The sequence below is a fragment of the Homo sapiens genome, chromosome X (assembly GCF_000001405.40).
Source record: "Homo sapiens chromosome X, GRCh38.p14 Primary Assembly".
Classification (NCBI taxonomy): domain Eukaryota; kingdom Metazoa; phylum Chordata; class Mammalia; order Primates; family Hominidae; genus Homo; species Homo sapiens.
Window position 1 is genome coordinate 104055131 of NC_000023.11, and position 24216 is coordinate 104079346.

The following is a 24216-nucleotide window of genomic DNA, read 5'->3' on the forward strand; positions in this document are numbered from 1 at the left end:
GGCGGGGTTGAGCACCTGCTCCGTGGCAGGTGAGAGGCGGGGAGCATGTCGACAGACACCCACTGTGATTGCCAAGCAACAGGACCATCGAGTTGCCTCTGAGGCCGGGAGGATTGCTGGTAGGCTCCCTGCTTGGCACTTCATTCAGTCAGATGTGGAGTTGGTGGCCTGTGACGTAACCATGTGGTGACTATAAAAGGCCCTCCCGCCTGTGGTCAACCATCATTGTCTGTTCCTCACATCCACTGGCAGTTGCCTCTGAGATGGTTAAGCCTTCCTCTGAGACGACCTCTGACAAAGGCCTGAGCACGAAGGAGCGGAAAGCGGCCGATGCCACTATGGCCCACAAGCAGCAGCAGAAGACAAGCAGCTGATATTTCTGGGTTTTGACCTTTTCTTGTTTGTTTTGTTTTCTGTAAAGTAAAGGTATCGTTCCAGTAAGTTTCACCAAGATTATGACACAACCAAGGATGCCTGAGGTGTCTTCAAAGGGGCGGAAAGTAGATTTCACAAGGTCCAGAATTGCCCCAAACCCCAGACGGCTCAAAGAGAAAAGAAAGTTTTGCTAGCCTTTCACAGGATACAACCCACATATTTGTCCTACCAAATTTTCTAGGATCTTAGATTCTCAGCTATCTCCACAAGAAGGCCAAAGGGCCTCATGTGCCCGCATCGCAGGTGAAGGAAGACAGGAAATCAAAAGCAATCCAAGGAAGGGAAAAGGGTCAATAAGAAATAGATACTCCCCAAAAGTCACACCAATATCCAACCAAGAAGGGCGGGTTTCCTGACTAGCAATGCAACCCACGGCGTTGAGGCGAAAGTGCAGAATTTGGACTCGAAGGTCACAAGGTGGAGTGGCCTTTGTTGTTATTCCCACATGGGGCAGTTTGAGCAGACACAGGAGGTTATCTTTGTTTTGGTCTGATTTTTGCTCTTCACTTTTGTCAAGCCAAGTTTTAAGGCTAGCTGCCACACCATGATGTATCTTTTTATATATTTAACATTTTTATCAATCGGTTAGAATGACAAATCTCTAAAATCCTTTTAACATAATTTAGTGGGTTAATTTAGAGGATCAATCTATTGGCCATTGACAATTAGACTTCTCAATAGTGTACTGAAGTTCAATAGCGACTGGATGCCATACCCTCTTCAGAGAAGAAGTAATTCCAAAGATTGCCCCTATTCCCAGACATAGGCTAAGATAAGAAATGATTCGTGGGATTGCAGTTTGCCAACATGAGATAGCTAGACCAGCGGTCCCCAACCTTTCTGGCACCAATAACCGGTTTCAGGGAAGACAATTTTTCCACAGAACGTCATTGAGGGGATGGTTTTGGGATGACTCAAGTGCATTACACTTATTGTGCACTTTATCTCTATTATTATTATTATATTGTAATGTGTAATGAAATAATATTACGACTCACCATAATGTAGAATCAGTGGGAGCCCTGAACTTGTTTTCCTGCAACTAGATGTTCCCATATGGGGGTGATGGGGACAGTGACAGATCGTCGTTCATTAGGTTCCCATAAGGAGTGTGCAAGCTAAGATCCCTCTATCTCCAATGTAACTATTAGACTCCTGACCCCTCATCTCTCTCCTACTTGCAGGTAGGACCTTTACTGGGGTACTCAAGTTAAATTACATTCATTAGGGTGCGCTCTATCCAAAATGACTAGTATGCATTTTGCATACCAAAAGGGGAAATTCAGACACAGAGACATGTGTTCAGGGAAGAAAATGTGAAGTGGCATGGCGAGAACTGGGCCACCTACAAGCCAAGGAAAGATCCCTGGAAGAGATCCTTCCCTCTTACTACTCAGAAGTAACCAACCCAGCTGACGCTTTGATTTGGACTTCCAGCCTGCCGAACCACGACAATAAATTTCTGCTGTTTATCCCACCAGGTTTGTGGTACTTTGTCAGAATGACCCTAGCAAACTACTAGAGGTTCTGTTGCCAAGCAGTGGGATGATGTGATAAGGAACATCCGAAAGACTGGAAGAGGCCTTGGAAGTAAGTAATGCATACAGGCCAGAAGTGTTTTGATATGCACGACACAAGAAGCCTAGAGTGCCTTTAGGAAATGGCGGGGGAAAATATGAACACCAAATGACATTGAAACGAGGGTTAAGAAAGAGTTCTTTGCTGTAGAGAAAGGATCTCTGACTTAGAGAATACATATATCATGACCACCGAAATGTTGCTAGAACTATGTGTATTAAAGGTGCTTCTGGTGTGTTTTCAGATGGAGACTAGGAAGAGGTTATTGGAAGCATGAGGAAAGGCCATCCTAGTTTTACAGTGGCAAAGGCTTGGGCTGTATTGTGTTCCTAGTGTCTTTGAGGAAAGTAGAAATTGTAAGTGATGAACATGCACATGTAGCTGATTTCTATTGTTGGAGCTCAGGGCACAATACCCCAAAATGAGGGCTTCAGAAGTAGTCTCAGATGAAAAAGATTTTCTCTGACATTCTTGGTCCTCCTGTCTGTCAGTCCCATTCTACCCCAGGGGCTAAACATAAAGACCAGAATCCCTCTTCCCGAAGGTGGGTCCAAGAAATCAGAAGCTCTTTTTTCTAAAGGTAGTCACAAAACCTAGAAATGTATTGTAACATTTTCCACATTTTCATGTAAAAACTGTCTGTGAAAAAATCATCTAACCTATCTCGTTTGAAAGGAAGTCACAAGATCGCCATTCCAGAGAGGGTCCTGCCCCGTATCCGGGAGGAAGTACTGTGTGCTCAGACAGGCCAAGCGGAGTCTAGACACACAGGCCTTGTCGGGTTTCCCCCACTCTGTCTATTGGCATTAGATCATAGCCTTTTTGTCCCATCATATTTCTACACGGCTGTCTGTATTCCTTTGAGCCAAGGCATAAAAACAGATAATTTCCCATGTGTCTTTGGCTATTAACACTAAAGGCTCCCGGGGATACACGTTGTATAAGTTGGTATGCCTTATGTCCTATGGATCTGCCTTTTGTGACTTCAGTTTTCAGCGAAACTTAAGAGGAGCAGGGGGAACCTTGGTCACTACACTGGCAAACTGAGAAAAGTTTTTAGGATTTAATCTGGTTTCTCCTAGATCTGTATATTAAATGGGAGAGAAGAGAGAGAAATTAGCCAAGGAAGCACTAAGGAAAAGGAAGCCAGCATTGGATGGTTCAGAAGGTACTCAAAGTATGCAGACACCTTGCTCTGGAAATAGGTGCAAGGGTGTGCCCGGAAAACCATTAGCCTAAGAGGAGAGACATGTGGCTCAGATCCAATCAACCATCTCTGCAGAAGTTAGGAATTGAGATAAGGGAGATATGGGTATTCAAGAAAGATCTTTAGACAACTTCTTGCCTGATGGCCTGGACTCATGTGAATTCCATGGGAAGCCAAAAAATTTTTGAGAATTTTATACCAAAAAAATGTTGCCGGAATGGACTGAACCAGAAAAAGATGGGATGAAATGCAAGGAGGCTGTTAGAGTTCCTGGACTGTACCGGCAAGAAAGGGACTGACTGAGGTACCCAGCTGTGACCGTTTCTTCATTTTTGAGACAGTGAAGAAGGACTAGAAAGTTGGGTCAGAGGTTGGCATGGCCGTCACTGCCTCCAAGAACCAGGGGCACATTACTAGGGGACTGGGCCATCTCTCTCTTCGTCCCAGAAACAGAGGTCACCTCCCAAGTTCCAGGCATTTGTCCCACTTCCTCGGTTTCAGAGGGATGGGCTGCAGCAGCCCAGGCTGGGGGGAGATCCCCCACCCCGCTGCCCAGGGCTTAGGGTGTAAAGCTGTTACCCCACTGGGCCTGAAGGACAGAGCATTGAGGCCAAGTAGAATCTTTTCCATCCTTAGAATCTAATGGAATTTGCCCCCACTAGGTTTCAAAGGTGCTTAAGGTCCACGAACTCCAGTAGTTTTTCAGATTTCCTACTTTTGGTATGATAAGCCCTATCTGGTACCAGTCCCACACTGTCTTTCAGAAACAGATAACTCGTCTAGCTTCGCAGGTGCAGTGGTGGAGAGAATTCCCACCTCAGCATGAGTCACACCTGGAGACTCACCCATTCCAGACATAGAAGATTATCAGGTGAGATACTGGAGAACTGATTTTGGAGTGAGTTAAGACTTTGGGGATGTTGTGATGAAATGAATATATTTTCTATGTGTGGACGTTAATTTGTGCCGCGGAATGGATGCAGAATATGTACTAGTATGTATGGAGTTCTGTCTCCCTAAAAGTCACAGGTAGAAGTCCTGGCCCCTAGTGTTTTAGAATGTGACCTTATTCGGAGAGAGTCTCTACACAGGCCATCTGGTTAAGGTGAAGTTGTGAGGTTTGACCCTACCCAACAGGATTGGTCTCCTTACCAAAAGGTGAAAATTGGTATCCAGAACTGTGAGATTAAAAATAAATAGTGTTTAAGTTAGCCAGTCCCTGGAATGTTTTTGAAGCGGCCCTCGAAAACTAATAGAATACACCTCCATCAACAGCATTAAAATCATACAACCCATCGAGGAATCAAAGAAGTACACCCCTCTAATCACAGGTTTCCCCTTCAACTCCCATTGAACATCCCTGGACAACTAACTCTTCCTAGTTCAGACCGGGAGACCTGATCACACTTTGGGCTGTGGCCCCTCGGCTGCAGTTGCCTCACTGGCTGACATGGATCCGAGTGGAGCTTGTGCTGCGCCATCGGACAGCATTCCATGATCCCCATGACACGTAGAGGCCAGTCATGAAGATTTTCAAAAACAAAAGATTCTATCCTGAAGAAGAGCAGAATCAGATAAATCTAAACAAGTGAGATTTCATTACGAGGGAGCCTAGAATAGGTATTGTTCCTTAAACTTTTTGATGTAGTTTTCTCTGTGCTGCGTTCGGGTCCTTGCTTATGTTTTCAAATGGACTCCAGCTTACAGGGAAAGCTGATAAAATGTTTGACTGGACTATGTTTATCCCACTCATGCTATTTTCCCTACATTGATACTTCTTATTTGTTGTTTAGGTAGCAAAGCTCTTTCCCTTAGTTTGTGTTTCCTATAAGTCGCAACATGACATCATGATTGCTCGCTACGTTTCCCTTCTGCTCAATCACTCACTGAAATGCTATATCAAATGTGCGAGCTTCCTCTTCCGATCTTCGCATCAATCCACCCCCTTCCTCTTTCTTCCTATAATTCACCAACATCAGTCCCCTTGCCACCTCATTCTTCACTCCCCACAAACAAATCAGATTTCATTGTTAACCCTGTTTTACTAATCCTCCTCTTTGATTTCTGAATTTACAAAGGGAAAACACATATTCCAGGGTAAAATATCCCAATGGATCTGGTTTCTCAAAAGGACTTGTCTAATTACACACATATGCAAGGGTAACTTCAGAAATTTATTCGTATGTCTTAATTCACAGAAACATTGGCACTTTACAGCAAAACAATTAGCATAATGAGAAATAAGTCACTGAGTGAGATGTGGTGTTTTGGAACAGGTATACAGCTCTGTCTCTAGAAAGGAACAGGGTTCTGCCAAGTGTCTTTGGTTTGGCAAGGGTTGTTCTGGACTTGTAGGAACATGTGGCGGCACCATCCAGAGGGATTTACTTGCAGCTGATTTTGTGGGAGTTTTTCTTGGTCTCCTTGTGCAGTAAGTACAGCTTCAACTATTTTCATAACATTTCTCTTCAACTATTTTCATAATATTTTTCTAATATTCTGGAAAAACAGAAAGTAACAAATCCCAGTGAGTGGACTTCTTGGTTCTATATCATTTCTCTATGGATCCCAAGTGGAGCTCTGGAGGTGACCTTCCCCTCTTCCCATCTGCACTACTCAGGGAAGCTCTGGCTACTATCCTGCCCCGAACCCTTTTCCCTCTTGACCAAGGGGTCCTCTTTAAATGGTGAAATAATCTATGTGGCTATGTGTTGGGTCCCTCTGGGGTGGTTCTTTCCCACTTCTGACGGGCTCAAGAAAATTTTGATTTTTGTCATTTATCCAGCTTTTGCTTCGTGGTTTGACTGAGAGTGCCATCCTTTACTGGTTTCTACATATGAAGGAGAAGGGTTGTTTATGAGATGTTTCAAAATTTACGGGAAACATTTAACAAAAATGGCCACATATTGAGCTTCAAGGCACAACATAATAAATTCCTGTGGGTTGCAATCCCAGAGTATGTTCTCTTGTCCACATACTCGGGCGACTGGAAATCAATGGAAAAGGAAAGCAATGGGTAAGTCAGCACCTGCTCTGAAATTCAGCAATACACTTATAGAAAAAAAAAAATTCTAAAAATACCAAGACTTGGGACCCAGAAGAGAGCACAATGAAAGGTAGCCTGTATTAATATTAACGTGAATATTAATATGCCAATCTTTTGAGGAAATAAGCGTTATCTGACTTCTTCTAATGGCTGACAATGCTCTGTATAACTTGATGTTAGGGTCAAGGAACGTATATTAATCTTAGCTTTGGATTCATATCCCTAAAAGACCATGATTACAAACACTGCAAACAAAAACATCAGGTAAAGAATCACATCGCCATGCCTTTAACCACCACGTGGAATATCACAGGAAGGCTGTTGTGGGTTCAGCTTCGGTCACTCGTCCCACATTGGGACAATGAGTGTTGCTCATAGACTTCAGGTCACTCATTGGCTGCACCACTGTACACTAGGGCATGAGCTGTTTCCGTGGACACTCTGTAATTCTACTGACACACATCTGGAAGGAAGGAAGGTTTCTGTTCAAAAAGAAACGAAATGATTATTGTCAGTGCAAAAAGAGAATGAATTGCAATAGTGATCTCAGAGTCAGGGAAGCTGGAAAACGAATGGATTCTTGAAAATTTATTTAGCTATATGTACACTGTAACTGTGCCTCGTTTGCTTATTTACATGGATTCATGGGGAGAAAGATGCTGAACACTTTTAGCAGGGTTACCTTGCTTCTTATATCAGCGTATTCACTTTCTCTCTTGCCATATCGCACATAATGAAGTTCTGGAAAATTCCACCATCCAGTTGTAGGAGAATGAGAGTGAAAAGGGTAAACATCAGTACATTGATAATATCACCACAAAGATAACCTAGAAAGATAACTGATAAAAACGGCCATTTAGGAAACTGAGGACATGAAACACGATTACGGAAACACCCCCTACTTTTCCTTGGAGCATATTGCACTACAGATGTATTGGAGTTGACAGTGTTTTGCACTGTGGGAAAAATGCTTGAAAAACCGCAGAAGGCCACACGCCACATGCTCCCCAAGCCAGAACGGTGCCACCCACCCCAATCTCCAGTGGGGTCCCCTCCTTGGCAGGCCACTGGTCTTTAGGGCCACGTGTGGTGGTTCTGAACAGAGCATTTGGCTTTCCCGGGTGCTCGGGCGCTCCTGAGATAGCTCACTTGCTTTTGGTGTACCTGAGGGTGGCATTCGTGCCCTGAGACTCAGCGAGCTTGCCCATCTTCCCCGGCAGCAGCAGGCACACGGCCATCCGAATGTCCCGGGAGGTGATGGTCACGCACTTGGAGTAGTGGGCCAGGTGACCAGCCTCGGTGGCGATGCGGTCCAGTATGTCACGAACCATAGAATCCATGACACTCACGGCCTCCTGGGAAAGGCTGAGGGCCTGGTGAACCTGCTTCAGCACCCGGGGGAAATAGGCGGCAAAGCTGTCCCCGAAGATATCTCCGCCGCTGTTGGCATGGCGCCTACGGGAGCCTCGAAGCCCTCACTTCTTCTGCTTCTGGGCCGTCATGGAGTTGGCCTCTTTGGGCTCCTGGATGCTCTGGTCTTCCTCAGAGGTTGTCTTAGAGAAAGCCTCAGCCATGGTGGAGGCAGTGGCCACTGGATGGCAAGAACAGACAATGACGGTTGTGGACAGGGGAAGGGTGGGGGGGAATTTAGTGTGGCCACATGGCTCTATGTCACAGTCCAACTCGACATCTGATTGCATGAAGTGTCACCCAGGGAGCCTGTCAGCCATCCTCCCTGCATTGAAGGTGACTGGATGATCCTGTTGCTTGGTATCATGTCAACCAATCACAGTGGGCACCTGCCGGCCTAAGTGGCCCCAGTTGCCTCCCTCAGACAAAAGTACACAGATAGATACCCCACAGGGCAAAACCACATCAACCCTCCCCAGCTGATCCATGCCACACCGTGAGCACTTTGAAGGGTGTCACGGAAAACTCCCAAAGTTTAGCAATTTCAGCTCATGCTCCTTGAAGAGGGCTTGACCTCCTGAGCCCAAGTCCATTATGCCAGAGGAATGACAGTGGCCACGTGTGGACCACTTCTCACCCATCTCAGAATCTTCTGTTATCAAGGGCTAAGCCACCCCGGCTTGAGCAGGAACACCCTGACATGGCTGCCGAAGGGTCCTGGGCATTAAAGGGACCTGGCTGTTCGGCTCCTGTCCTCAGTTATGATCGACACCTTCAGTGAATGTGGATAAGGAACGATGGCCAAACCACAGTCTCCAAGCACACAACACAAACAGAAATTGAGATGCTTGTAAAAATATTACAAATCCTTAAACATGTGCGAAATTTAAAATTGTTTTCTTAACAGTATTTTGATCCCCAAAATACTCTGAATGTTAGTGTTGGTGAATAAGTGATGTTGGGTGAAAAAATGTTACCCCAATTCTCTAAGAAACCTCCTTATGGAGAAAAATTGAATCCATGAAATTGGAAATATTTTGAAGTTAAAAAATACCCTTCAAGAATCTATGATAATACATTCAGAAACATTTATTAAATATATGAATGTAAAACATAAATCCCAGAAACTGAACCAAACAAGGATTTAGCGATTAAGAAGAATTAAAGAAATAGCAATCACCAAGAAGGTACCATCCCAAATTCCAATGCTGTTTCCTGTCAGACTTTTAAGATCAGGTCATTTATTGCTAGTAAGATGGTTCCAGGTTTAAAGAGAGAAAACTTTTTCTTTTTTTGAGACAGAGTCTCGCTCTGTCGCCCAGGCTGGAGTGCAGTGGTGCGATCTCAGCTCACTGCAACCTCTGCCTCCTGGGTTCAAGTGATTTCCCTGCCTCAGCTTCCCGAGTAGCTGGGACTAGAAGCGCGCACCACCACGCCCGGCTAGTTTTCATATTTTTTTTTTGTAGAGATGTGGTTTCATCATGTTTCCCCAGACTGGTGTAGAACTCCTGGACTCAAGCGATCCTCCTGCCTCGGCCTCCCAAGGAGCTGGGATTACAGGCATGAGCTACTGCGCCCAGCCGACAAAACTTATTTCAAGAAAATATAATATGATGTTGATACCCATTGAAGGAAGCATACTAAATATATATATATATATATATATACATATATATATATGTATATGTATATATATGAGCAGCTCATTTATAAATGTGGTTACAAAACTCATACCTGAAATACTAGTAATTAAATTACATTACACACACCCACCCACACACACACACACACACGCACACACAGGGAAACAGTTTACTGCTATAAATAAAAATTCAGAAGGATCGAACTGGGACAAACATTACTAATGGAACAAGCAGACCTCATACAATCTTTTTTCAACATTACCTCTGTTATAGAATTCATTTAAACACATAACAAAAACCCACAGTGCAGAAATAGCTGAGTCAAATAAATCAATGAACCCTTTTTAAGCTTCCTAGAAACTGAAATAACTGCTCTAAGTCATTCACATTTGTCTAATTATATTATTTCCCAGTCTACAATCTTTTTTAATGCAAAGCTTAACCCCTATGAGTATGCATCACTTATGATAGAAGTATCCAATGAGAGCATCCAAACCCCACTCTCCACTGGCTAAACTAATGAAGTATCTCCAGTCCTGGGCCTCAGCCATTGGCTCAAAATGTGAGCAGGTGAACTGTCCTGAATCAATAAGTCTCCTCCTAGCTGTTCAGCCTTGTAAATTGAAGAGAAAATTAGTTTGAGGTTTTTGTCTACTTTTTATTTCTTTGTTTGATTTTTCGTTTTATTGTAATCGTGGTGATTTCAGGATATGAATCCACAGCTGTAAGCATGTCTTCTACCTCTCGCATCATATTGTGAAGAAAAATTCTTTGTAAAGGAATTTGGAGGAAAGAGGCTATTCCTGTGTACAGTTTGCAAACCAGGGAGGTGCAGACTTCAGTGTAAAACAAAAGTGCAGTTCCAGAGAACAAAGAGAGGATATGGCTTTTATAGAGAAAGTTCCTATCGAGGTTCCCAGTACAGTCAATTTATGCAAATAAACAATTCAAACTTAGTTCTGATTGGTTGACTCAGTTGAGCTCTGGTTGGTCAATACAGCTGAGCCCTTATTGGCAGCGACAGGTGAGCTCTGGTTGGTTGCTTCAGGTGAGCTCTGAAAGTTCCAAAGTTAGATAGAGGTGTGGGTTTTCGGGGAATTTGTAGTACACGTGTTAGCTCTAGTCAACACGTGGCAGCTTGGCTCTATTTTAAATTTAAGCTCAGTTAGCCACTGGGATCCATCTTGAAAGATTGGCTCTTTTAGGTTCTCATTTGTTCACAAGTTTAAGAAAATGACAGTGACCAATTAAGAAAACTAGGTGCCGGGCGTGGTGGCTCACGCCTGTAATCCCAGCACTTTGGGAGGCCGAGGTGGGCGGATCAGGAGGTCAAGAGATCGAGACCATCCTGGCCAACATGGCGAAACCCCATCTTTACTAAAAATACCAAATTTAGCCTGGCTTGGTGATGTGCCTGAGGTCCCAGCTACTCGGGAGGCTGAGGCAGGAGAACTGCTTGAACTCGGGAAGCGAAGTTTGCAGTGAGCCGAAATCGTGTCGCTGCACTCCAGCCTGGCGACAGAGCGAGACTCCTTCTAAAAAAAAAAAAAAGAAAGAAAAAGTAGGATGACTCTTCCTTTTTTTTTTTTTTCAATTTGATTGTTGTGGGGCTTTTTCACTTTCAACCACATGTGTCTGACAAAATTAACCCACTATGGTAATATGAGACAATAAAAACATTTACTTCAGTACAATGCCTTCTCCAAAATGTGATTGGTCCTAATTCTTGACGGAATATAATACTCTTCTTATTTCATCATAGACTGACACTCTGGAATAGGGGGGAATGAGTGTGGACATGAGTGGGGGCACAGAAAAAGCTTTAAAGGGTGACTATTTACTTTTTTTCCTTATCCCAGACATTTTCCCTAGCATAGTGACCATATGTCCTGATTTCGCCTGTTGTCCCTTAGTAATTCTTAATAGCATCCCTTTCACTCTGAAATATGTCCAAATTTACGACTCTGTACTTCCCAGGGTAACTAGATCATGCAGGAAGTTGTGAGTGTAGTAGCTCTCAGATCTTTGTTAAATGAACAGATAAATGAATGAACCTACATTAGATAAGAGACTGGCCCCTGACAACGTATGAGACCATTGCTGAATTCTGTGGCTAGTCCACACGACCCTTCTGGACCTCTTGGACACAGACCCCTTTCCTGTACTGCACTTTAAAAAAAATTCTTTCTCTACAAAGCTGTCTGAGTCCCAGTGTTAAACCCATGTGAATGTCAGATTGTGTTTCCTCCATGGTTTGCTTATCAGCTTTACTCCTCCTAATAGCCCTTTGTGGTGTACATATTTTAGCCTCAATTTTTTGCAGACAAAACACAGAGTAACTAAGTAATGTGTCCAATGATCACACAGCTGATAAATGGAAGAGCAGGGATTCAAATCCACGTCAGTCTGAGTCCAGAACCCAAGCACTTGAACGTTGTCCTCTGCCATCCTATCTCATATTGTAGTGATGGCACCTTCAAGGCATGGATACCTTAGGTAGACAGGATGAGGTGAGCCTCACCTTTAGAGCAAGTCTTTTCATAGCTTGATTTTTCCTTGAGGGCAATGTGATCAGTTCAGAGGTATAAAAGCAAAAGCATCAAGTTAGGTTTCATGCAAAGGTATACAAGGAACCTGATTTTCTCCTGAAACCACGGGAGTTTTTTCAAGCAGCAGTTAGGAAATTTAACCATTCCCGTGCTCAATTCTGTGTTTCAATACATGTCTAAACCACATGCGTAGCCATTCCACGTTGCATAATTGTGTCCAATACAGACGGACTCCAACTTAGGATGGTTCGACTTAAAATTATTTGACTTTACGATAGGTTTAACCGGACTGAACTCCATTGTAAGTTGAGGAGCATATGTTTATTCTGCTGCAAATTGGTGAGAGAAAGGGTGGGAATCAGGGAGTGAGAAATGTTTTCAGGTTAGGATTATACAGTCATTACTTGATAACCCACATTTAGCCCTGTGATGGCCAATTTTATGCCTTGTCTTGTCTTTCCAACCAGGGGGAGATTTTTTTCCCAAATAAACAAGGATAGAGATTTAGGTAACCCGACTTGGTTGGGTTACAGTATCTAGATATGTGGTCAAATTTTATTCTGAATGTTTCTGTGAAGGTGTGTTTGGGATTAACATTTAAATCAATGGACCTGAGTACAACAGACTGCCCTCCATAATGGCCTGAATAGAACAAAAAGACTGACTTCCCCCAAGCAAGAGTAAATTCTGCAGCAAACAGCCTTCACACTTGAACTGCAATATCGGCTCTCCCGTGGGTCTTCAGCCTCATGGTCTTTAGACTTAAACTGTAATCTCAGCTTTTACCTGGGACTCCAGGCTGCCAGCCCATCCTGCAGATTTTGGACTTGCCAGCCTCCATAATCACATGAATCAATTTCTTAAAATAAATCTATCTGTCTATCTATCTAGATAGATAGATAGATGATAGATAGATAGATAGATAGATAGATAGATAGATAGATAGATAGATATCCTATTGGTTTTATAACTCTGGAAATCCCTAATACAAGCTTTCTGCACCAAAACTTTGCTGCAGAGATCTCAGTGTTGTTTCCACACATAAAGTATCCAGTTATATATCAGACATTTTCATTATTCCATTAATCAATATCTTTGCCTTTAATTAGTGACCACACAGTTATGTCAGTAGTTTTTCCTGGCTCTTTAGAGATGTTTCTTCACCATTTGATATGACTGGGGACAACAACATATTCAGTTCAATGGTAAAGTTGAGGACTTAATTGCAATTATTATTACTGAAAATAACAATCCCTAGAACATAGGTAGATTCCACATGGCACCTATTAACCAGAAGATTGAATTAACTTACCCTACTTCTGACCTTGCCAGTTAATTGCACTCCCTTTCATTACCACCCATATAACCGACACTCATTTTGGTTGGTGTCAATTAAACTAGGCATTGCTATAGTAATAAAAAGAGTCACCACGGACTGAGTGGCGACTATTCCAGGCATTGTTCTAAGTGCTTTACAGGGAACACTTTAATTGCCTTTCACAAGATCTCTGTGAAGTAGTGTTATTTCCTCCGTTTTGTGGATGAAGAAACTGAACCACAAAAGATTGTCACTTGCCCAAGATCAAACAGGTAGAAGATTACCAAGGCAAGAATCAAACATATTTCTACACATTTAAGCTTCTGCCCAGAAAAGAAAATATCATCAGAGTGAACAGGCAACCTACAGAATGGGAGAAAATTTTTGCAATCTTTCCATCTGACAAAGGGCTAATATCCAGAATCTACAAGAAACTTAAACAAATTTACAAGAAAAAAATACAAAATCAAAAAGTGGGCAAAGGATATGAACAGACACTTCTCAAAAGAAGACATTTATGTGGCCAACAAACATATGAAAATAAAAGCTCATCATGACTGCTCATTAGAGAAATGCAAATCAAAACCACAATGTGATACCATCTCACGCCTGTTAGAATGGTGATCACTAAAAGTCTGGAAACAACAGATGCTGGAGAGGATGCAGAGAAATAGGAACACATTTACACTGTTGGTTGGAGTGTAAATTAATTCGACCATTGTGGAAGACAGTGTGGCCATTCCTCAACGATATAGAACCAGAAATACCATTTGACCCAGCAATCCCATTACTGGATATATACCTAAAGGATTATAAATCATTCTACTGTAAAGACACATGCATACGTATGTTTATTGCAGCATTATTTACAATAGCAAAGACTTGGATCCAATGCAAATGCCCATCAATGATAGACTGGATAAAGATAATGTGCCACATATACACCATGGAATACTATGCAGCCATATAAAAAGAATGAGTTCATGTCCTTTGCAGGGACATGGATGAAGCTGAAAACCATTATCTTCAGCAAACTAACACAGGAACAAAAAACCGAATGCCACATGTTCTCATTCATAAGTGGGAACTGAACAATGAGAACACGTGGACACAGGGAGGGGAACATCACCCACCTGGGCCTGTCAGGGGTTAGGGGCAAAGGGGAGGGAGAGCATTACAATAAATACTGAATGCATGCAGAGCTTAAAACCTAGATGATGGGTTGATATGTGCAGCAAACCACCATAGCACATGAATACCTGTATAACACACCTGCATGTTCAGCACATGTATCCCAGAACTTAATGTAAATTTAAAAAAAAAATTTAAAAAGACTCCAAAGGCAAGGCATTCTCATTAGGTATGAACATGCATTGGTTAAATTCTAGGAGTGTTTATAAAACTCACTGGCCTGCAGAGTTTCATGGGAATTGTAAGTCGTAATACTAAATGAGACTTTTTTTATTCTTTGCAGAGATGAATTAGGCATGAAATTTTATTTGGCTGATTTTTCTCTTTTAACTTTCAGTATATTTTTTCTTTCTGATATTTCATTTTCTGTTCTTAGTAATTAAAGTCATCTCTGCCTATGTACACTGACAGAATAAAAGTGTAAAGCCACTGACCAGTGATTTTCAAGGGATGTTAATGCATAAAAGAAGACAATCATTTAACTCCAGCCTTTTCCTTTCCCTATAAATACAACTGCTATAACAAAGCCCTGGTACTGCCAGTTTTGCAGATAATAGATGGATTCAGGGACATAAATCTCAATCCTTGCTTATTTGGAAAAAAAAAATATATACCCCTGATTCAAAAAACAAGTAAAGCTAGTGACTAAAAGAGTAGCCCAACATTAAATACTTGAGAAACGTGGGGCAAAACTACTGCAGATGAGCAACTGCAGTTTTTCCCATCTCATTCCTGTATGAGTATTCACTTAGTAATTACATGTCTTTCACCTCCCGCCATGCACTTCTAATCTGCTCCCACTCAGTTTAACACTTACACTACCCAGGGTACAAATCAAGACTTTAATGAAAAGGATGGCTACCAGATGCAACTAACTAGGAGTTATTGTTCAATCCTAGGTCACCTGACAACATTCATGCTTTCCTTTGAGCTGCATTAATGTACAAATGAAGAGGTTGCTGAATCTATCATAGATGAATAGCATCTTTATCAAATTTGCAAATGACAACACAGAAAGGGGAGCAACTGTGTTGGATGATTGAACCAGGATTCACAGACCCGGTAATGAGCAAATCTGAGCATATCTGCAACCAGGATGGTTTCCCATCTGTGTAACTTGGGTCTGAAGGATCTGAGAAGTGTCAGTTGCAGAAGACTTGGAGGTAGAGGGACAGGACACAACAGCTGACTTCAAATTCTGGAGGATGGATTAACTACTGTCTCTAGGCCTCCAGCACATAATCCCAGGACTATTGAATAGAAGCTACAGGGAGGCACGTTTGGGCACAATGTAAGAAGCATATCACTGCAAGGAGCTGAGTGACTTTACTGGACAATTGCCTCAGGCAGGAGATAAGGTACTGGTGACTAACATGGTTACTTCCAAGGCTCAAATCCTCTGGCTACACACTAAGCCCCGTGACTGTGTCACCTCATTGGCACTTGATTGAAGTTGACCTACCTACTGTTTTGCTTTTGAAACTTTAAGCTGCAGCAGAGAAAACAGCTTTCACTTCATGTAATCCCACTGATTATTTAAGAATGTGAGCCCTTAGAAAGGGTGAGGTAAGGCAGGGCATGGTGGCTCACGCCTATAATCCCAGCACTTCGGGAGGCTGAGGAGGGCAGATCACGAGCTCAGGAGTTCGAGACCAGCCCGGCCAGCATAGTGAAACTCCATCTCTACTAAAAATACAAAAATTAGCCAGGCATGGTGGCACACACCTGTAGTCCCAGCTACTCGGGAGGCTGAGGCAAGAGAATAGCTTGAACCCGGGAAGCAGAGGTTATGGTAAGCCGAGATTGCAGCACTGCACTCCAGCCTGGGCAACAGAATGAGACTCCATCTCAAGAAAGAAAAGAAAGAAAAGAAAGAAAGAAAGAGAAAGAAAGAAAGAAAGAAAGAAAGAAAGAAAGAAAGAAAGAAAGAAAGAGAAAGGAGGAGGTAAGTTAATACTTGAGGTTGAAAATAGGTATGAATGGTATAATCCGTCTTTGTAGGAAGATATGTACATTAATAGATCACAAGTCTGGATGGCTAATACTTCTAATTGGTGGGATTATAGGTTATTTGTTTTTATACACATGATTAAAGTAGGCTTAGCATGGTAGCTCATGCCTGTAATCCCAGCACTTTGGGAGGCTGAGGCAGACAGATTGCTTGAGCCCAAGAGTTCAAGACCAGCCTGGACAACATAGCGAGACCTGATCTCTACTAATAATCAAAAATATTAGCTGGCTGTGGTGGCACGTGCCTGTAGTCCCAGGTGCTAGGGAGGCTGAGGTGGGAGGATTGCTTGAGCACAGGAGGTCAAGGCTGCAGTGAGCCATGATTGTACCACTGCACTCCAGCGTGGGCAACAGAGCAAGACCCTGTCTCATAAAAATAAAATAATAATTTTTAAAAAGAGATAAAAGTATTGTTTAAAGGCAGGAATTAAAATGCATGCAATTATACATATTCCTTACTGTATTAGCTCAGGCTGCTGTAACAAAATACTGTAGACTGAATGACTTAAACAACATAAATTTACTTGCTCACAGTTCTAGATTCAAGAAATCTCAAGTCGACGTCCAGCAGGGTCAGATTCTGGTGGGGGCTCTCTTCCTGGCTTGTAGACAGGCACCTTCTTGCTGTGTCCTCGCATGTTAGAGACTGGTCTCTCTCTCCTTATAAGGCCACAGTCCTATTAGATTAGGCCCTGACTGTTATCACTTCATAACGTAAATTACTTCTGAAACAACCTATCTCCAGATACAATCATGCTAGGGATTAGGGCTTCAGCATATTAATCAGGAGGTCACAGGTGACAAAATTCAGACCATAACATTTATGCTCACCATGAACACCAGAAATGTTTAGTTCATAAAACAGCAAATTCTGTTCAGTAGAAAAACCGTACCAGAAGTTCAGTGCTACAGGTCATTAGAAGATGTGATGTGCTTAATATGGTGTTTGGTAGCAAGTGCCTCCTGCCCCTTTCTCCATCCAACTTCAGTCTTGGATGTTAACTCCCACTAAGCTGAAAAAGACTTTCAGAAGGCAAGAGAACCCAGCTTGAATTCCAACCCTTATTCAAATTGAGCAGATTACTTCAGACCCTGTGTTTTCATTTCCTCATTCTGAGATAAGGAGGTTAGTCCACATGACCTTCTCTCCCAAGGTTCTCTAACTCTGTGATTCCAACTATAAAGAAAAAGCACCTACCATCCCCAAGTCAGGAACCACTGGACTTGGACAGAATTTAGTATTTTCCCCCAGGACTAATCTGCTAAAAGTTTTCCTTCAACCATTTTGTTTGAGTGTAAAAGGTACCTTTGTGTACTTTTCATTCCTTAGAATACCACCAGAATGAACCACAGAGTCAGACAACAACGATTATATTTATTATTTTATTGCTACATTGGAAGTGAAAATAAACTGTAAGAAGCTGCCAAAGGATGCAACTTCATGAAGATTATGAAACTATTGAGGCACCCATTGTAGAAAGTTAAAATTGGCTTATCCTGCATGAGGTGCAAGGACTACCTACACAAAGGTCATCCATGGCAAGGTTATTGACAGCATCTGCCATTTGGAATTTACATACCAATGGGAAGTTTAAAAAGGAACTTAAGGAAACATTCACTACCCCTGACCTCTTAACCAGGGAATATAGGTGAGAAGAAATCAGAAGATGTCTGAAATCTCTACAAACACACAGGTTTACAAAAAAACAAGCCTAAAACCAAGACTGTCAGGCAATGCTGAAATCTGCTCTTTGGAGGAGATCCCCATTTTATGATGTTTGAACACACTCTTTCTCCTGCTGGATAGCTGGGGAAAAAGAAACCAAAAATTACAAAAGTATTTTCCTAAGACTAAGTTCAGCTTCTTCCAAAAGAGCTCTTTGTAAGTCATTGAAGGCTGCCATACATGCTTTAAATTTAGAATGCCAAGGCATTAAACACAAAACTCAGAGTGGGGTGTGTGCCTGCATGTGTGCACACATTAAGTACCTGAACTACCAATTAGAAACTACATCAACTGTAGGGTTTGTTTTTCCAAATGCTGTTGTCATTTTTTCAGATTATTCAAGACTGAGGAGTAAGTGAAGTACTTTCTTCAGATTTGTCTATCACTATACAGTTAGAAAATTATACACTTTCAGATAATTTTAACTAATATTGCAACTCTCAAATAAAACTGACATAACAAAAGGTGCCCCTTGGCTTTTGTGAATATGCTTAGAGTTTCTCCAGCAGGCTATAACTCCAGAGGGCAGAACCAATCAATCCCTTGAATCTGAGAGCTTTAAGCATACTAAGATCTAAATTTGTTCTCACTTTATCTTTTCATCAGATATAGAAGGTCAAAACTGCAGAGTCTACAGGGTTCGTTAGGGATAATATTATGGACTCAAATTTTTAAATGTAGAAAAATGCCAAATACCCAAAAGTAGACAAAAACTAAGTGTTTTTTAGTGCTACATCCAATATTCCAAGATTGGTTTTAATGTGGTTTTTAATAATTTTCCAACAAAAAACTAGTTTTTTATTCCCCCATCACTACTGGGCCCATCATGTGAGAACCAGAAGAAAACTATTTGATAGTTTTAACTGTTGCATTAAATACCATGGTACTCTAATTATTGCTTACTTTGTGTAAAAAAAATTACTAGAAGATAGGTTTATTTACTGAACCTATTAACTTCCTCTATTGTTTGTTTCCAGTAGAACCCCACATGACTTACTTTCCTTTGAGGGAAGAGTATTTTTTTCTTCAGTATTAGTTTTCTTCAGTTTTGACCTGTCAAACTTCTCCACTTCCGACAAGTCTGGTTTATCACTCATCTTGACTAGAAGAAAGCCTGAAAAGAAAAAACTTTTTTCTTTTTTTGAAACAGCGTCTTGCTCTGTCGCCCAGGCTGGAGTGCAGTGGCGCAATCCCGGCTCACTGCAACCTCCGCCTCCTGGGTTCAAGCAATTCCTCTGCCTCAGCATCTCAAGAAACTGGGATTACAGGCACACGCCACTATGCCCGGCTAATTTTTGTATTTTCAGTAGAGACGGGGGTCTTACCATGTTGGCCAGGCTGGTCTGGAACTCCTGGCCTCAAGTGATCTGCCCGCCTCGGCCTCCCAAAGTGCTGGGATTGCAGGCGTGAGCCACCGCGCCAGGACAGAAAAAAACATTTTTAAGAAAACTTACCTGGCAGAACTATCTTCGGACTAAGGGATCACAAGCAAAAATTTTCACATTTCCTATCAATGTATATTCTACCTGCTCATTTTCAACAGAAAAACAGCAACAGATATTAGAAAAGTTATATTTTTGTTAGAATAATTTCAACTCCACATCATTTGCCGTTTCTGATAGGCAGTAAATGTCATTGGATCATAACGCACCAGAAACCAAGATGCTCTAGAAACACAGAGCCATTTGTCTGACTCTTAAAATCACAGCAAGGATAAAATGGAGGTGATAGAAGCACAAGACCAGACAGGGATAGAAGAAAAAATAAAGACTGGTTTTAACCAGGTAATTATTTTGAAACAGAACATAGCACCATTTGAGCATCTTCACTTTCTATTTACTTTTGGTTTTGCCATTTTTCTTGGGAGATGGGGAGCAGCACACAAAAAAAGAATGAGATAAGTTGTATTAATTTCTATCTATTTTAAATCCCCAAAGACGACAGTACATTAAGGCACTACAATACACGTCTCATAATAGCTCCTTGTGGCACTGGTTTGTAAACGCTGTAAGAAGGGACAGCTAACTAGGATCAGACCCAGGACTTCAGCAGAACGGAATAAACCAAATAGAAGTGGGTCTTCTTTCACGTTTTCACTGCAGAGAGGGAGGAGATGAGGCTCAGACGTGCGTAGCTGTGGACCTGACGAAATGCCTGGTGCCCTGTGAAAGTCTCGAGTTTGTTCAGAAGAGACAATAGGATATACCAGGTAGAGCTTTCATGAGCAAGCCCGGCCCCACCCTGGTGGAGTAAGACACTTCGTCTAGTCCCTGGCGTAGAATGCAGAGGCCCCCAAGCAGTCAGAAGTGTCGAACATGCCTCCATTCTGTCGAGGTTACCCTAAGACCCTCCTCTGCCAAGCGATCAGACGCCAAGCTCGGAGCTGGGAAATTGGAACTAACCAATAAATAATAGCAGGGCCGGGCGCATAGGCCAGTCTGTCAGGAGCAGTTTGCATACTTTTTCAAATAACTATTAGCGTTGTTAGACGCCCAGTCTAACGGCCACGGGAGGGAAAGGAACCAGGGCCCAGCCCCACAAGGCCCATTCCGGGCGGCCCCCAAACTCTTCATCCTCGAAGCCTCTGACCTGCAGCTACCGCGGACTGGCCGCTTTAAGGGTCCCCTACCCCTCCAACCACCGCCTCCCACCCCGACTCCCCGGGGCCTTCTTTCCAGGGACCGGCCCCCGGGAGGGCTCGGCATCGCTCGCAGAAGGCGGCGCCCCAGAAAGACAAAGGCTCGGACTCGCCGGGCCTGGCGGCGGCGCAGACACCAAGCACCAGCCCCAACCCCAGCCCCTCTGGCTCCCGAAGGCGCGGCATCCCCCGCCTCGCGACCCCCACGCCTTCCCGTCCCCATGGTCCTCTGGCTCCTGCGAGGCCGCAGGTACTCACCTGAAGGCTTGAAGACTCGTGAAAGGCCGTACGCGGGGCTGAGACCCAGGCTGGCTCCGCACCAGGTTAGCCTTCCCGCCCAGAGCCCTGCAGTGCTAAGCCTTCTAGCAGGCGCCGCCCCAGCCCTCTCTGATTGGCCGAGGGTTTCCGGACTCGCCTCCTTCCCCTCCTCCGCTTGAGCCTCCAGAGCCTGCGCCCACCATCTCTTCTAAGATCAGGAGCTTGGTGACTTCAGAGCAGACCTCGCCCTCCCCAGGCCCCACCTCCCAGGCCTCTCCCACTGCTTTAGTCCTGAGGGTCCACATTCCCTTCATCCGAAGTACACTCACTCTTGCTCTTTCCGGGCTACCTTGTAGCAATTTGAGGCTCCGTCATCAGTTTCTGCTACGTTTCAAAGATCCAGGAGAAGCTTAGTGTTGTGTCAAGACGCCGATGGACCCATCACAGAAGTTTAATCCAACCTACATCCCAGAGTCTCCACAAATGCTCACCGAAGAAAATTCCCGGGACGATTCAGGGGCCTCTCAAATCTGCTCCGAGACGTTGATAAAGAACCTTAGTAACTTGACTATCAACACTAGTAGCGAATCTGTTTCCCCTCTATCGGAAGCTTTACTCCGTCGAGAGTCTGTAGGAGCAGAAGTCCTCAGGGAAATCGAAGATGAGTGGCTTTACAGCAGGAGAGGAGTAAGAACATTGCTGTCTGTGCAGAGAGAAAAGATGGCAAGATCGAGATACATGTTACTCGGCAGAGTTCGTATGCATGAAAGAAGACCAACAAACGAGGAGCCTAAGGGAGTTAAGAAGGAATCAAGACCATTCAAATGTCCCTGCAGTTTCTGCGTGTCTAACGGATGGGATCCTTCTGAGAATGCTAGAATAGAGAATCAAGACACCAAGCCACTTCAGCCATAAATCTTATTCTTGCACCTTTTTTTCTTGCTGGTAATTTTATATAGCAGGTTGAGAAAGCTAATCTATGCTAGAACAGACTATACACCAATAATTTTGATAATGAGTTCTAGGATGTATTTTTCTTCTTGTATCTTTTTCTTCCTACTATGATACTAGTAATTCATAAGGGATCTGTGTAATCTGAATGTATTTGAATAACTTTAGCTCTACTGTTTGATTTGACCCAAAGAATCCAAGACGATATAAGTATTCCCATGTGTCTTAGAAGCCCAAAGTCAGTGAGATGAAACCCAACATCAAGAAATTGAAGCAAAGTTACTTGTGGATAAAGAAAGCATTAGGTAGTTTGGCTATAGCATAATTAGATTTTCTGGCTTTCAAAAATTTGAACTGCAATCACAGCAAACTTTGTTATTTTTACAGTTTTCAGTACAAAAAGGTGTTTATATAGAAACAATAAAGTTGACATTTGAGTACCTTTAAAAAAAAAAAACAAAGTACACTCACTCTTTCACAATAACAGAAGCCTCTGCAATAAGCAGACACATTTTGCCCAGTGAGCTTAGAACATCTGTAACACAGAGGTCCAAGCTGAATGACCGGTATATAGGCTCTCTAGGCTTTTTATAGCCATTGGGGCCTAAGGACAACCTAACAGTAGGTTGGAAGTGGGGCTCGGTGTTGTCTGCTCTAATCCTTGGCCACGTCGTGGAGTACGAGTGCTCATGGTGAGGGTGGGTAGTTCAGGGCCATTCACCCCTACAACTGGACATTTCTGTGACAGTAGTGCTCTCCTGTGAAATGTAAAAGTCACATTTGCAGCTTTCTCGGCCACAGAACACGATAGCAGTCAGTTTATAATCACAGAACAACTGAGGCTATTGCTATTCACCTTTATATCCCCAATCCCTAGCACTTTGGCCCACAAGACACATTGGTTGTGGAGATGTATGTGGATTGAAGTAATAAATCCGTGATAGGGAGGAATTTTTGGACACTAGCACCACCCAGTGTCTGTTGGAAGAGAAAATTGAGGATCCGGTAGTTACTTAAAAGGACTAAACGTTCAAGATCATTTTCTGGATACTCACCCAGAACCTTAGCGCTTTAAGGTAAGATGGAGGTAGAACTATGTCTTTTACTTGCACCCCATGTATGGTGGTATAGATCTATATAGATCAGAAATCATTCTTTCCACAAGGATTTCTCAAGCCTTCCCCACCTCACTTCATTCCCTTTTCTTTGCTCTTGTAGCACTTTCTGTTAATTTGAGAATTGTGTATGTTTGTTGGAGAAACTTTCAAAACAGAAAAGCATACTCATTCAACAAATAATATTAATTGAGTACCTACAATGTCCCTGGCATTAAATATAATAAACACCAGTGTTTCCACTACTCAGATTTCAATGTTGTTAACATTAGGTATATTTACTTTGTCTTTCTTTTAAGGAATGAAAACTTTACCGAAAAAATAATTGAGGTTTCCTTGACCTTCCCTCCACTTCCATTCACCTTCCCACTTCCCTAGGGGTAGTCCTATCCTGAATGTGATGTGTAGCTTCCAGCGTATTTTTTTTTAAGTTCGGGGGTACATGTGCAGGTTTGTTACATAGGTAAACTGTGTCATGGGTATTTTCTACAGATTATTTCATCACCCAGATATTGAGCCTAACACCCATTAGATATTTTTCCTGATCCTCTCCATCCACCCACCCTCCACCCCCTGAGAGGTCCCAATGTGTGTTGTTCCTCTCTGTATCCATGTGTTCTCATCATTTAGCCCCCACTTACAAGTGAGAACATGCAGTATTTGGTTTTCTGTCCCTGCATTAGTTTGCTAAGGATAATGGCCTCCAGCTCCATCCATGTCCCTGCAAAGGACATGACCTTTTTCTTTTTTATGGCTGCATATTATTCCATGCTGCATATATATACCATATTTTCTTTTATCCAGTCTATAATTGATGGGCATTTAGGTTGATTCCATGTCTTTACTATTGTGAATAGTGTTGCAATGAACATACCTGTGCATGTGTCTTTATAATTGAACAATTTCTATTCCTTCGGGTATATACCCAGTAATGGGATTGCTGAGTCAAATGGTATTTCTGTCTTTAGGGCTTTGAGGAATCGCCACACTGTCTTCCACAATGGCTGAACTAATTTATACTTCCACCAACAGTGTACAAGCATACTTTTTCTCCACACCCTTGACAGCATCTGTTATTTTTTGACATTTTAATAATAGCCATTCTGTCTGACGTGAGATGGTATCTCCTTATCATTTTGAT

At 42.7% G+C, this 24216-nt stretch overlaps 1 protein-coding gene and 2 pseudogenes across 2 annotated transcripts; 1 reads left to right on the forward strand and 2 right to left on the reverse strand.

Annotated features, from left to right (window-relative positions):
- Positions 1–5373: 5373 nt before the first annotated feature.
- On the reverse strand, positions 5374–7808 carry H2BW3P (H2B.W histone 3, pseudogene; annotated as a pseudogene). The gene is made up of 4 exons (NR_130172.1): positions 7431–7808; positions 6949–7007; positions 6553–6748; positions 5374–5719 (listed from the first exon to the last, which is right to left on the reverse strand). The product of NR_130172.1 is annotated as a H2B.W histone 3, pseudogene (transcript).
- Positions 7809–17756: 9948 nt separating this feature from the next.
- TMSB15C (thymosin beta 15C) lies at positions 17757–21106 on the reverse strand. Its single transcript, NM_001395930.1, has 3 exons — positions 21010–21106; positions 19111–19227; positions 17757–18194 (listed from the first exon to the last, which is right to left on the reverse strand). The coding sequence occupies exons 2-3, from the start codon at positions 19208–19210 to the stop codon at positions 18157–18159; spliced, it is 138 nt and encodes a 45-aa protein (NP_001382859.1). The 5' UTR covers positions 19211–19227; positions 21010–21106; the 3' UTR covers positions 17757–18156.
- DPPA3P4 (DPPA3 pseudogene 4) lies at positions 21344–22405 on the forward strand (annotated as a pseudogene).

Bases quoted from the DNA above. Each gene is read 5' to 3' on its own strand.
- TMSB15C (NM_001395930.1), bottom strand. From the start codon at position 19,210: ATGAGTGATAAACCAGACTTGTCGGAAGTGGAGAAGTTTGACAGGTCA. The intron at 18,195-19,110 runs GTAAGTCATGTG...CTTTTTCCCCAG, and splicing joins TACTCTTCCCTCAAAGGAAA to CTATCCAGCAGGAGAAAGAG.